General features: G+C 36.1%; 2 protein-coding genes across 7 annotated transcripts in view, besides 1 other annotated feature; both read right to left on the reverse strand.

Moving 5' to 3' along the window:
• UGT2A1 (UDP glucuronosyltransferase family 2 member A1 complex locus) overlaps nucleotides 1-15,166 on the reverse strand; it is a 64,831-nt gene that overhangs the window by 2,195 nt on the left and 47,470 nt on the right. For 3 of the 5 annotated variants that reach the window (NM_001301239.2, NM_001252275.3, NM_001252274.3), the window contains 3 exons: nucleotides 8,635-8,783; nucleotides 4,551-4,638; nucleotides 3,866-4,085 (listed from right to left, as the gene is read on the reverse strand). In NM_001301239.2, the coding sequence (NP_001288168.1) occupies nucleotides 3,866-4,085; nucleotides 4,551-4,638; nucleotides 8,635-8,783 (457 nt within the window). Of the gene's footprint in view, nucleotides 1-3,865; nucleotides 4,086-4,550; nucleotides 4,639-5,638; nucleotides 5,771-8,634; nucleotides 8,784-15,166 lie in introns of all 5 variants that reach the window. The other 2 variants (NM_006798.5, NM_001389565.1) reach the window with 1 other exon arrangement.
• Nucleotides 1-15,166, reverse strand: part of UGT2A2 (UDP glucuronosyltransferase family 2 member A2) — a 51,226-nt gene that overhangs the window by 2,195 nt on the left and 33,865 nt on the right. Inside the window, exons 2-5 of one of the 2 annotated variants that reach the window (NM_001105677.2) lie at nucleotides 8,635-8,783; nucleotides 5,639-5,770; nucleotides 4,551-4,638; nucleotides 3,866-4,085 (exon numbers count right to left, since the gene is read on the reverse strand). In NM_001105677.2, coding sequence (NP_001099147.2) covers nucleotides 3,866-4,085; nucleotides 4,551-4,638; nucleotides 5,639-5,770; nucleotides 8,635-8,783 — 589 coding nt within the window. The remainder of the gene's footprint in view (nucleotides 1-3,865; nucleotides 4,086-4,550; nucleotides 4,639-5,638; nucleotides 5,771-8,634; nucleotides 8,784-15,166) is intronic. The other variant, NM_001301233.1, reaches the window with a different exon arrangement.
• Nucleotides 3,867-4,067: a silencer, noted in NCBI's record as "peak5055 fragment used in MPRA reporter construct". NCBI's record gives its function as "represses an SCP1 promoter by STARR-seq MPRAs in K562 erythroleukemia cells {active_cell/tissue: K562}" and the evidence as "EXISTENCE:reporter gene assay evidence [ECO:0000049][PMID:32103011]".

The raw sequence follows: 15,166 nt of genomic DNA on the forward strand, positions 1-15,166 counted from the left end.
GCAGCAGGAGTAGTTTACATGTGTTGAGTGTGTGTGTGTGTGTGTGTGTTTGTGTGTCTGTCTGTCTAGTGAAAAAGAATATAAGTAAGTAATTTCACATGGATCATCCGAATATACTTTAGGCAATAAATAAATTTGTACATGTGAATCAAAAAATAAGAAGAAGAAAGCATGTTTTCCTATAAATGATGTGGGACAAAGACCATGCTCATAAATTTATTATTTCATGTTTTATTATACACTAATGTTTTATGACTGATATGTTAAAATATTCTGAATAATTAAATTACAATGGTCTATTCAAATGTAATTGTTAATGTTTATTAATTGCTTTAATGAATAACAGAATGGAGTACAAACACATCCATATATATACTCTACACTATACCTTGTGTTCCCAGAGGTGGTATTTGGTTTAGGGTTAAAGTGAAGTTACTTTAAATTAAATAATTTTTAGGCATTTATTTAGAAATTTCTAACAGTATTTATAGTTCTCATTTTTTTGCATCAATAGTTTTGTCAATGAAATGAATCAAAATCTAAAATATTTGAAGATATTTATTTGTAGCAAAATATGAGTGACCATGGCCCATGATAAAGCCCTCAGGAAGTCCTGAGTATATGTGCCCAAGGTGGCTGGGGTGCAGCTTGGTTTTTACATTTTAGGAAGGCATAAGACATTAATCAAATATGTTTAAGAAATACATTGGTTTGGTTTAGAAAGGTGGGACAACTTGAAGTGGGGGTGCATCCAGGCTATAGGTAAATTTAAACATATTCTGGTTGACAATTGGTTGAGTTTCTCTAAAGACCTGGGATCAAAGGGAAGGAATGCCTGGGTTAAGATAAAGGATTGTGGAGATCCAAGTCCTTATTTGCAGAGGAAGCCTTCAGGTAGTAGGCTTCAGAGAGAATAGGTTGTGAAACGTTTCTTATCAGACTGAAAGTCTGTGTTGATGCTAATGCCAGAGAGGTATACTAAGGCATATTTGACCCTCATTTCCCATCATGGCCTGAAACAGACTCTCAGGTTAAATTTTAACTTCCTCTGGCTGAGGAGGAAGTCCATTTGGATGGTTGGGTGAGAAGCTTAGAATTTTTATTTTTGGTTTACAGTTTTCAAGTCAATAATAAAATTTAACCATCATTTTAAGCATTAGAGTTAAAGAGAATCACAGACTGTACCTACACTGATAATTAATAAAATGAACAAAATTGTCAGCAACTAACAACTTTGTAATAGTCTAATTGACTAGTCATTAAAGTCAAAAAAAGATCATACTGAGCCTTGCTGAAGCTCCTAACCCACCACTTAGCTCATGAATTATGATTTCTAAAATTATGACTTATACAACATGTACGTATTAATAAAAGTCAATTAATTGGAATGTGGATGGGGAGCAAAAGTGGACAACCAGGGCTGAGTCTTGGTATGAATCTAAACCAACTGTTGAGTGTCTTTCTTTTTTGAAATGAATACATTAGCCCTCGTGTCTAAAATGCCTGGCAAAGGTCACTGAATAGATGTTTTTAAGCAGGTTACTTCCGTTAAGAAAAAGCACTAAATTCCATCCGAGTTTACCTTCTCCTCTCCTGAATCTCAGCCTTCAGGAAAAGTGAATGAAATATTAAAGCTATTCTTCAAGCTTGGACTCTACATGAAAACAATTAAGTCCAATACAACATAAAGCAAGTTTAAAGCACCCACACAAATTCAGAGCAAACACCAAGACCGAGAAAAAATAACAGCCTGATAACCACTTACACATATTGAAAAATAAATGAGAAACTAAAAATGCATTTAGGTATTGCATATAGTCCAAAGAAGAGGAGATTCAAAATACAATAATAGCGGGAGGGTAATGAATATGATATCAAAATTGACTTACAAAGCAAGAGGAAGTGATAAGGAGATAGGTGAGCTGATGATACAAGTTGTTAAAAATGACAGTTGAAAGAATTAATAAAGAAATTAGAAACAGCAAGCAATGCTCATGGTAAAAATAATAAATTTACTAATTTGTGAACTATTGGAGGCAATCTCAATGAATTAATAATAGTAAAAATTGATTAGAACAATTAGACAGGAAATAAGAGAGGAAAACATACCAAAATACTTTATCATAGGGAAGACTAAACTGGTGCTCCAGAAGTAAAGATAAAAAATGGAAATAAAAGGCATTCAAAGAAATAATACAAAAAAAATTAATTTCTGAAAAGAAAAACTGGATAATTTTTTATCTTAGATTAACATTGTTGTAAAGACACAGTATAATTGAAGAAAAATATATAAAATAATTTGTAAGAATACACCATAACTGAGTTTCTGAATTTTAAAAAGTAACTATTTCTTTTTCCAAGTTGAAAAGAAAGCAAAAAGATACAACAGTCAGGCAGGACTCAGAAATCATATAGCACAATTTAAACTGGAAGGCCATAAGTAATATTTCCACAGGTCTGAAGGAAAGAAAGCAAGAGCTAAATATATTGTATTCAGATAAAAGTCATTCTCATAACAAAGCAGTGAGTGAATATTGCTAAACATTATCTCAGAGAATTCAATATCCAAGTCTTTATTGAAAGAAAATTCCATGTGAGATAATCAGTCAAGAAATAAATCCTAAATATTTTGGAATAAATAATCTCTAATTCAACGGTGAACACTGAGTCCCTTAAAATATAGGAAACAGAGTAAATGTGAGAAAAAAATGACATAAATATTGGTAAAGTAAAATTACAACATAAGTAATATAAATTTGGAATGAAATAGAGATACATTTCAAAGCAGGAGTTCAACTATAAGTAGCTAAAATTAAAACACATCATCAAAAATAAAGACTCAAAATTACATATACATATATCATATTACTTTGGTGAGATCTTTCAGAGAAAAAAATAAGACACAATATATATACACACACACTATCTACTAAGCTATATATATAGACTTATATATATAATATACTAAGCTATGTATACATAACTCAATATATTTTATAGATTCATTTCAATCTAAAAGCTGAATCAGATAAAATTATACTTAAATTTTATTTAAAATATCACATAGTACAAATCAATATTTAAAAAATTATCCACTACCCTATATCTTTTCTCTCTGTGTGTATACATATACTAATTAAAGGTATCGAATGGTATATACTCAGTGTGAATAGTTATTTCTGAATGCTTATTACTGAGCGTATTATCATTTCAATTTTGTATTTACTGATTAGTTTATAATATGTACATACTTACTAATTAGTTTATAATATTAAGCAGATTATCCAGAAAAAATGAGAATTTATATAATCATAGCATTCTTTATTTTGAAAAATATTGAAATAATATTTGAAGTCTTTTTTTTTGTTTGTTTTTTTTTTTGAGACTGAGTCTTGCTCTTTTGCCCAGGCTGGAGTGCAGTGGCACAATCTTGGCTCACTGCAACCTCCACCTCCCGGGTTCACGCCATTCTCCTGCCTCAGCCTCCTGAGTAGCTGGGACTACAGGCGCCCACTATCATACCCGGCTAAATTTTTGTATTTTTAGTAGAGACAGGGTTTCACCGTGTTAGCCAGGATGGTCTCGATCTCCGGACCTTGTGATCTGCCACCCTCAGCCTCCCAAAGTGCTAGGATTACAAGCTTGAGCCACTGCGCCCGGCCAATATTTGAAGTCTTAGGATTTTCTTATTTTTCTGATTTCAGCAAATCACTTTAGCAGTTTGGCAAATAAAATAGTTTTTATATTGGTCAGGTTATGGTTGTTATTGGAAAATAATTACAAAAGTATAAAAGAATGTACATTTTCTGGTATTATGAATAATGTAATTAAAGTTAGGCAAGTTTTTAGGAGCCTTAGTACTTACGAAGGTTCATTAATGACTGTTCTCAAAGCGCTAAGCAAATCCACACTTGTCATTGTGTTTAGGTTCACTTCCACAGCTGCTCCTTTGGCCTTCATGTGAGCAATGTTATCAGGCTGATCAGCAAACATGGGAACTCCCACCATAGGGACTCCGTGGTAAATAGCTTCGTAGATCCCATTAGTTCCACCATGAGTGATAAAAGCTTTGGTTTTGGGATGTCCTAATTTGAGGATGGAGTGAGAAGTGGGTGTGTAATAATAACACATTAGCAGAATTTGAGAGACAGAAGGGGTCAAAAAGCTGTAATGTAACTCTCTAAAGAAGGATACGTTTTCTACAAAAGCAGATCACATAGGGCATTGGAATGTCAGAAAACTGTGATCCCAGGAAAAGCAGTAATTAACAGCATTTGCATTTTCTGGGAATATATTACTGAGGAGATGATATCTGAACTGAAAATGAAACTTGAAGTGTGATTAATGTTAACTGAAAATGCTCTTTTGTGAACCAGAGGAAGCCTGAGTCTATAAAATTAATGGCCAATTATGTAATTATATCTGCTTTAAAATTGAGTGTCAAATAACATTTTAAATTATTAAAAATGTATTGAATTTATTTGCTATTAAACAGTTACTTAACTTGTCTATTGTCCCACTGTACAGCTTTTCTTTCCCCACAGTCTTACCAAGAAGATCATTCTGGGGTATCCAATCAAAGAGCTGAGTATTGTTTCCTAATGTGGCTGGTTTCTTTCCTTTGTATCTCCATAAAACCTGTGGAAAATGGTGCTTTAATTTTGCAAGGAAAAACACAATGAGGACATTTTAAGTTGGGAGAATTATTTAGAAATCATTTAGCCAGCTACTTGGAAGACGGGAATTACATAAGCAGTAGTTTACAAACGTTGAGATACGTAGTAGGACTGTTTATATGTACCTTTTTGTAAAGTCTTGTACTAATAGTCTACCAAGTATAGTATTATTGTTTTGATATTTATCACTTAAAAGCTTTTGGAAGTTAGATTTTAAGTGAAGAAATAGAACGTAAACAGTACCAGTTTAATCAATCACAACATGAAGGGGAAAAATCATGAAGAGTGTTATGTGCTTTAAACAATACATAAATATAAAGAGTCCTAGGATGTGTCATGAATAGAAGTATAAAAAGAATAGAAATGCAAAATTGTAGAGATAAAAATTAAGGTTAATTGAATAACATAAGTCAGAAATTGCATGTTGTTGGACTATAATATTTGAATTTTAATTGTTTTTAGCTAGAGAATATTCAACTTAGAAAGGCTAAGTGAATTGAGGCTTCTACTTCTAAACCAACTACACTTTGATAGAGTTGTAATAAAACCTAGACATTCGAATTATATTTTTAGCATAATTTCTCCCTGCTTTGTGTTTACACTCTCTTTTCCTGGACCATGGAGCTAACAAACTTCAAAACTTTTGAAAGTAGTCAGTGGAGAACAAAAAATTTCAAATAGTAAAAGGTCAGTAGGGGCTTAAAGTTTTCATTTCTATTCCATTAAAAATAAATGACTTCAAAAAAGTATGTGTTTCTAAAATAATGCCAAGGCTCAGTAGGCAAATGATTCAATGTGCTAATGTACACAATTTTAATATATTACACAACGTTACTTACAACTGTTACTAGTGATACTCAGTGTATAATGAGTTTTGATTTTCATATGGAAAGAACATTACTAGCTGCATTGTCTCTCCCATTAGTAAAAAGCTGTGTACCAGGATTCCAGGCTGTACTGACCTTCTGTGGAATCTGGGCAAGGGCTGAGGCAATAAGATTGGCCTTTTCTTCTGTAAGGTTTTTGACCATTGATCCCAGAGAAAACACCACAACACCATTTTTACCTGAGCTCTGGATAAATTCTTCCATTTCCTGCATACATAATATATTTTCTATTACAAAGGTGTAGCATCATAAGAAAAAATAAGTTTACTTACACATTTAAGTAGGTAAAATTAAGATATATGTCAGAGAAACTGTTGAACTGTCTGTCTTCTGACATGTAGAAAGATCTAGTTTCTATATTTTTTTTTGGCAGAGTCTCGCTCTGTCGCCCAGGCTGGAGCGCAGTGGCATGATCTCTGCTCACTGCAACCTCACCTCCCCGGTTCAAGTGATTCTCACACCTCAGCCTCCTGAGTAACTGGGATTATAGTCTCATGCCATCGTGTCTGGCTGAGTTTTGTATTTTTAGTAGAGATGGTGTTTCACCATGTTGGCCAGGCTGGTCTCCACCTCCTGGCCTCCAGTGATCCACCTGCCTTGGTCTCCCAAAGTGCTGGAATTACAGGCATGAGCCACTGTGCCCAGTCAGAAATAGTCTCCTTAAGAGGAAACACGTCTCTGAAATGTATAACTTAAATATATAATCAGTGATTACAAGTCCAAGCATGAAAGCAAAACCATTACAGAAATGAACACTAAATAAGGGACAACTCTTCTCATGCTAACTGAAATTGTTACCCCCAAGGCTTAATTTAACCAATCAACAGGGTTGTTTGCAAACTCATAAAAACAGTTTTTGGAGGGAAGCCCAACAAAGGATACTGAGCTAGGCTTTTAAAATTGTTAGCATTCCAGTTATATCTAATAAAATTATTAATAAATTTATCGGTTCCTGTTAAGCATTCAAGATCATTTTCTCAACTGTATGCCTCCTTTGATTCATAGGTCTAAGAAAAAATTTGTTTAAAATGGCATCTAATTGTAACATATTTTAGAACAGGATAACAAAGTGCATCTCCAACTGTAATCACAATGATGCGTATGAGACAGTGCATCTCTTTCTTCTTGATGTATAAGCTGCCATGAGTGTGATGTTAGCTATGTGCCCTTAATTTGAGCCTTAAAGCAAAATTAAAATATAAATTTGTCTGCCAATAAAATTCCTTAGGTAATTACTTATAGTTTTGCAAATTTGACACTGCAAAATCTGAGATTAAGGCCTTTCACATCATATCTATATGAATGCTACTTTCTACAGATGTATCCTGCATTCCCTGTGCAAATATTTGTTGGGATCACACTGGAATCACTGATGTATCACTTTATGACTAGCCAAATAACTAGGGGAGGGTGATATCTTAAGTGAAAATAGATTGCTATTTTTGGCTTAGTTAATGTCAGGAGAATATTTCTGAAGTCCCAGGAATTGGTGCTTTGCCATTTTGATTTATTTTCCAAACAGATATTAATTCATTAAAATAACACACACACACACACACACAAACATACACATACACACAAACGTACACATCTATCATACTGATATGGATTTTTCATTTGACAGTCTCTTGTTGTTTTTGTATTCTGTGTACCCAGTGATTGGCGTAATTATTTCATCAGCAATATAACCCATGGTTGGTATTCATATTTCCCAAAGCCTATATCGATATTTATATTGATTGAATACATAATGGCATAATGTCTGCTATTGTAAAACATGGCTGATTTGTCTTTGTGAAATTGTGAGAATATGTGTATATGTGTGTGTTTGTGTAAAAAGTGGGTTTGGGAGGAAAAACATAATAGGGTGTCATGGGTCATTATCCAGTGACCTATGGATACGTCATGAATATTTCTGTGTCTTTATTTAGATATTGGTACATTATTTCCTATAATAAACATTCACTAGAGCTTGCCTGCAGCCATAACTTGACTGGCCAGAAAATCCTGAAATAAAATTTTTAGAATCCTGAAATAAAATTTTAAACTTAAATATGTCTGTTACTATAAACAGAAATTTAGTACTCTTATAGGAACCTGCAACTTTCTAAAAAGATTACATTTGCTTGTGTATAAACCAAGTAAATAATAGCCTGTTTCCTCACTCCTTATTGATAGTTAAATACATTGTTCCTACCATGTGTACCTGTACTCTATTTTGCTTCTCAACACTTTTTCTGTATAACATTTCTTATATTCCACATTTCTTTTCTGAAGACTTCATATTGTAGCATACAATTTCCTTCTCATGCCATAAAACCTGACACTATATTTATAAAGAACCAATACAACATTTGTATCTCTCAGTTTTATAATAGCTACTTTATGCTGATGAATCTGAATCTATTTCTAATGCTTCCTGCTTGAATTTACACTTTGTACTACCTAAATGATTTCTAGAAATTACCAAAACTCCTTTTTGTTCCTTACAGTAAATAGGTCAGAAACTAAACTCACCATTGTCAACTCAAAAGAGTTTTTTTTTTAACCAATTGTTTCCTAACAGTAGATGGCACAACTGTCTAATAAATTCTCAAGATTAAAACCTAAGAGCCCTGCCTTATTTCATTGTCTTTCTTCAATAATGACCTCTTACTCACCAAGTTAAATGGAATTCACCCAACAGTTTTCATGAAGACATCTTTATCTCTCAAGAAATTTGGTAAATATTACTGTTCATAATGCTATGTGGCTTGGTAAGACTAGGGCAGTATCCTTCGTAATTTCTATGATCTGGTTTTCTGTCCCACCAAGTCCAGTATCAAGGTGTAGACACACTGATATTTGTAACACACAGCTTTAATCATTTTATTCTTCAGTTTAAATTGTCAATGTAAAGTTCAAAACACCTAATATCACTTGTAGGAGACCTCTATCACAAGGAAAATAGATGTGGAGTAGCAAACTGAAATGTCCAGCAGCATTTATTTGTTATTGAGGCTATAAACTTTAAAAGAAAATTAAGTATTTTATTATGAAGAGCATAAAATCCTCCACTGTTGTAGACCTACCTTAGGTAAAGGTTTGGCAGGTTTGCAGTGCAATCCTCCAACAAACTCAAAATTAGGTAAGTATGGACGAGGAAATTCAAAATCCCAATATGTTCGGATTAACCAAATTTCAGCTTTCCCCATAGTCTCACATAACGTAGTGGGTCTTCCTGGAGAAAATGTAACAAGTTGGATGGAGGAAATTAGCTTATATGTTTGCTGAGGAGAAAAAAAAGCTACCAGTAATTTCCTGATAAGCTGTTAAGAAAAAACTGAATTAGGTCTTCTAGAATACTTATCATGTTTATATATTAAGAAGAAGGAGAAATTAAAGAGGATGGAAGAAAGGAAGGAGGAAGGAAGAAAAGAAGGAAGGAAGGGAGGAAGGGAGGAAGGCAGGCAAGCAGGGAGGGAGAGAGAGGAAAGCAAGGAAAAGTGAGAAAAAGGGAAGAAAGAGGTAGAAATAAAGAAAGAGAGAGAGAGAGGAAGAGAGAGAGATGGAGAAAAGGAGAAAGGGAAGAAGAGAGGGAGTAGAGTGGGGCCTGGGAAAGGAAGGAAGGAGGGAGGATTTTTTGTTAGTGAAAAAGAAGTAATGTGTAAGTGTAATTTCACAATAATAAATCAACCAAAATTAAACTATAACTACAACTACTGACAAATTAAACATTCATTTTCTCTCTTCAGTTAAATGCCAGATAAGTTTCTTCCCCAGGACAGCAAATCAGAGGCATTGCTAGCATGCCTCTCCCACTTGAAAAGACAATATAGTGAATAGAGAGACACACTGTGAATTTGTTTACAAGAAGCAACACAGAAACTTAACAGAAAAATAAAAGTAACCATAAACCCTTTGAAAAAAGTGGTGGGCAGCAGCCTATCCTGTGAGCCAGGTGAAAAACCATGAGTCCCCAGAGTGTGAGTGGGGAGAAACTGCCTCTGGGATATATACACCCACTGGGAAACCTGGCAATCCAGACCACGGGGAAATGCCTTAACCCTACCCAGTACTGGAGCTGCTTTAGTGAGCAGTGGGAAACACATGAGAAAGAGCAGCATCTGGACATGGTTTGTGTGCACTCCCAGACTCCAGCAGGGACAGAGAAAAGTCACTCCTAATCCTATATCACAAGGGACCTTGCGGAAGTCTGTCAACTAACTCAGGTTGTGGTCACAGGTTGAGAGAGCTCCCAACTGAGAATCACAGTACAATTTTGAGTGGGGACAAACTCCCTTTGGCCAGAATTGAGGAATGAGTAGGAAGTGTGCTATGGCCACAGGCACAAGAGATGGACATCCCTACTTTAGAGGAGCATGGCCTGAAAGCCACAGTTTCCATCTCAGTGGGTGTGTTAGGCCTTTCTCTTATTCCCATAAAGAAATACTTGAAACTGAGTAATTTATTTTTTTAAAAAGAGGTTTAATTGGCTTATGGTCCCATAGGCTGTACAGGAAGCATAGTGGTTTCTGCTTCTGGGGAGGCCTCAGGAAGCATCTAATCATGGCAGAAGGCAACAGAGCAGCAGGTTGTTTTGCATGATGGGAGCAGGAGCAAGAGAGAGAGTGAGGGCAAAGGTGCTATACACTTAAAAAAAAAAACAGATCTCGTGATAACTCACTCACTATCACAAGAAGAGTACCAAGGGAGGATGGCGCTAAACCTTTCATGAATACTCTACCCCCATGATCCAATCCTCTCCAATCAGGCCCCACTTCCAACATTGGGGATCACAATTTGACATAAGACTTGGGCAGAGACACAGATCTAAACCATCTCAGTGGGGAAGGCTTATGACCTGGGGCATTTTTGAGTTTTGAGAGGAGTGTGCCTGGAATCCAGTTACCTGATGCTAGTGGAATACTGCAAATGTGAGAACTGCCTTGCCAAGCATGTAGGAGCCAGGTGAGGTTTACTTCCTGCTGCTACACATACTCCCCATGTGGATTCTTCTGTGCAGCAGAGGCGGCTGCACTTCTCCCTGGAACATTACCCCAACAGCCAGAGAGCTTCCCTCTGATCCTCACTGTGACCACTACTCATGCCTACATAGGGGGAGCCAGAGCACAGACTTGACTGACCCAGCCTCGTGTTCTTGCTCCTGCACCTGCCCTGGTGGCTTAACAGAAAGGACAGAGAATTTGGGGAGCTCCATGCCCTTCCCCGCCCCCCGGAGTACTACTCCTGGGTAACATAAGGCAAGCACAAAACTCACTTCTACCACTACAATTGGAGCTCTTTTGCAAGTGCCACCTCTTGGCTAGAGGCCAACTGACAGTCCATTACAGCATCTGCAGGCATAATAACACAACCCCAAGAAGGAAAACACTTCTGCATGACCTCAGCTATCACTATTACCTGCATCACTTTGGGTAACCAGGAGGTCCTGAGTTTGTCCACATGCCAGTACGTTACTACCACAGCTGGCATTTGAGAAAGTCAACATTGCTAAGGCCAATAACCAAGGAATCTCACAAAGTCTATGTAACTCCCCTGCCACCCCTGTCAGAGCTGGTGCTGGTATCCACTGATGGGAGACTAGAGGACAGGTCATATCACTGGATCCCTTGCAGACATTCCCTAGCACCAGTCTGGGGTGTGACAGCCCTACTGGGTGGCCAGGTCTAGAGGAGCAGCAGCACTCATAGTAGTCTGGCCCTCAGAGACTCTTACTCTTGGGCAAAGGAGGGCTGTACCACAACCATGCAACTTGAGAAATTAAAGGGTAGAGTAAAACTAAGACAACTTGAATAATTAATATAATCAAGAAAAAGTATATTATTGAAATAGAAATCAAATTAAAAGTCAATCATACTCAAAAATAGATGCTGTTACAGTTAAAATGATTATCTGACTAAATCTAGTAATATTTTAACAAAAGATATGAAAAAGTTGGACTCATTATAGTAATGAAATGATAGCTTAAAACTGAAAAGTAGATAAGTTCACCTTATTAGAAGGTAAAAAGAGGAAAATCCTATCATCTCAAGCAATAAAAACAGTTGTTCATAATCTTGAAATTCTATTAGTAAACTACAAATAGAAAAGAATTTCTTTACACCAACAAAGGCACTCCAAACAAAAAAGTTTCATCAAATGTAACCTTTATGTTAAAATAGTAAGAGCATTCTTATCAAGACGAAAAAAAGTCAGTGGTATGTACTAATGACAACTTTAATTCAACAATACTTTACTGCAGTTAAACAAGAAAAACAATTTTTAGAATAACAAAGATTTAGGAGTTTATCTATCTATCTATCTATCTATCTATCTATCTATCTATCTATCTGATATCATGTTATGTAACAAATCCAAAACAATATACAGATAAATCTTCAGAATGAGGAAGAGAAGTTTTAATTTTGCTGAATGCAAAACTATAACATAGCAACTGAAATTTCTGTGCACAAGTAAACGAAGATTTAATTTAAAAACTAAATTTCCACTGAAAAACTTGGAATAGTTTTTACAAAAGTTACATAATCTATTCATGCTTATAATTGCAAAATTGTATTAAAACCCACAATAGAAAAGTAAATAGAGCTAACTTGTTCACAGATAAGAAGATCAAAATTCATAAAGATGTCCATTCTCTAAAATCAATTTATAGATTAATTATGAATCTTATTAAGGGTCAGGAGTTCAAGACCAGTGTGGCCAAGATGGTGAAACCCCGTCTCTACTAAAAATACAAAAAAATTAGCCGGGCGTGGTGGCAGGTGCCTGTAATCCCAGATACTCTAGAGGCTGAGGCAGAGAATTGCTTGAACCCGGGAGGAGGAGGTTGCAGTGAGCCAAGATCACGCCACTGCAATCCACCCTGGGTGACAGAGAGAGACTCCATCTAAAAAAAATAAAAAATAAATGAATAAATAAATAAATCTTATTAAAATTTCAAAATCACAAGTTTCATAAACCTTTACAATTGTTGTAGAACTTTATATGTGATTCTAAAATCCATACGGAAAAGCAAAGAGCCAAAAATAATCAAGGAACTCCAGATGAAGAGATACAAGAGGAAGGAATATTATTTTACCAGATATCAAGAACTAATATAAAGGAAAGCAGTTAAGATAGTGAAAAAAAACAAAACCACTTATGTAATGAAATTCATGAATGACAAAGATGCAGGCATGCAGGAAAAAATGTTTTCAATAAATAGTGATGGGACAGCTCCTTACCCAAAACCCCATCTCTACATCACCATCATCAAAGACCAAAGGTAGATAAAACCACAAAGATAGGGAAAAAACAGAGCAGAAAAACTGGAAACTCTAAAAATCAGAGTGCCTCTCCTCCTCCAAAGGAAAGCAGCTCCTCACACGCAACAGAACAAAACTGGACGGAGAATGACTTTGACGAGCTGAGAGAAGAAGGCTTCAAACGATCAAACTGCTCCGAGCTACAGGAAGAAGTTCAAACCCATGGCAAAGAGGTTAAAAACCTTGAAAAAAAATTAGACGAATGGCTAACTAGAATCACCAATGAAGAAAAGCCCTTAAAGGACCTGATGGAGCTGAAAACCAAGGCACAAGAACTACGTGACAAATGCACAAGCCTCAGTAGCCGATTCAATCAACTGGAAGAAAGGGTATCAGTGATGGAAGATCAAATGAATGAAATGAAGCGAGAAGAGAAGTTTAGAGAAAAAAGAATAAAAAGAAACGAACAAAGCCTCCAAGAAATATGGGACTATGTGAAAAGACCAAATCTACGTCTGATTGGTGTACCTGAAAGTGATGGGGAGAATGGAACCAAGTTGGAAAACACTCTGCAGGATATTATCCAGTAGAACCTCCCCAGTCTAGCAAGGAAGGCCAACGTTCAAACTCAGGAAATACAGAGAACGCCACAAAGATACTCCTCGAGAAGAGCAACTCCAAGACACATAATTGTCAGACTCACCAAAGTAGAAATGAAGGAAAAAATGTTAAGGGCAGCCAGAGAGAAAGGTCGGGTTACCCACAAAGGGAAGCCCATCAGACTAACAGCTGATCTCTTGGCAGAAACTCTACAAGCCAGAAGACAGTGGGGACCAATATTCACCATTCTTAAAGAAAAGAATTTTCAACCCAGAATTTCATATCTAGCCAAACTAAGCTTCATAAGAGGAGAAGGAGAAATAAAATACTTTAGAGACAAGCAAATGCTGAGAGATTTTGTCACCACCAGGCCCGCCCTAAAAGAGCTCCTGAAGGAAGCACTAAACATAGAAAGGAACAACCAGTACCAGCCACTGCAAAAACATGCCACATTGTACAGACCATCGAGGCTAGGAAGAAACTGCATCAACTAATGAGCAAAATAACTAGCTAACATCATAATGACAGGATCAAGTTCACACATAAGAATATTAACCTTAAACATAAATGGGCTAAATGCTCCAATTAAAAGACACAGACTGGCAAATTGGATAAAGAGCCAAGACCCATCAGTGTGCTGTATTCAGGAAACCCATCTCACGTGAAGAGACACACATAGGCTCAAAATAAAGTGATGGAGGAAGATCTACCAAGCAAATGGAAAACAAAAAAAGGCAGGGGTTGCAATCCTAGTCTCTGATAAAACAGACCTTAAAGCACCAAAGATCAAAAGAGACAAAGAAGGCCATTACATAATGGTAAAAGGATCAATTCAACAAGAAGAGCTAGCTGTCCTAAATATATATGCACCCAATACAGGAGCACCCAGATTCATAAAGCAAGTCCTTAGAGACCTAGAAAGAGACTTAGACTCCCACACAATAATAATGAGAGACTTTGACACCCCACTGTCAACGTTAGACAGATCAATGAGACAGAAAGATAACAAGTATATCCAGGAATTGAACTCAGCTCTGCACCAAGTAGACCTAATACACATCTACAGAATTATCCACCCCAAATCAACAGAATATACATTCTTCTCAGCACCACACCGCACTTATTCCAAAATTGACCACATAGTTGGAAGTAAAGCACTCCTCAGCAAATGTAAAAGAACAGAAATTATAACAAACTGTCTCTCAGACCACAGAGCAATCAAATTAGAACTCAGGATTAAGAAATTCACTCAAAACCGCTCAACTACATGGAAACTGAACAACCTGCTCCTGAATGACTACTGGGTACATAACGAAATGAAGGCAGAAATAAAGATGTTCTTTGAAACTAACGACAACAAAGACACAACATACCAGAATCTCTGGGACACATTCAAAGCAGTGTGTAGAGGGAAATTTATAGCACTAAATGCCCACAGAACAGAGCAGGAAAGATCTAAAATTGACACCCCAACATCACAATTGAAAGAACTAGAGAAGCAAGAGCATAACACATTCAAGACCTAGCAGAAGGCAAGAAAAAACTAAGATCAGAGCAGAACTGAAGGAAATAGAGACACAAAAAACCCTTTAAAAAATCAATGAATCCAGGAGCTGGTTTTTTGAAAAGATCAACCAAACTGATAGACCACTAGCAAGACTAATAAAGAAGAAAAGAGAGAAGAATCAAATAGATGCAATAAAAAATGATAAAGGGGATATCACCACCGATCCCACAGAAATACAAAGTACCATCA

Source organism: Homo sapiens, chromosome 4 (assembly GCF_000001405.40).
Source record: "Homo sapiens chromosome 4, GRCh38.p14 Primary Assembly".
NCBI classification, from domain to species: Eukaryota; Metazoa; Chordata; class Mammalia; order Primates; family Hominidae; genus Homo; species Homo sapiens.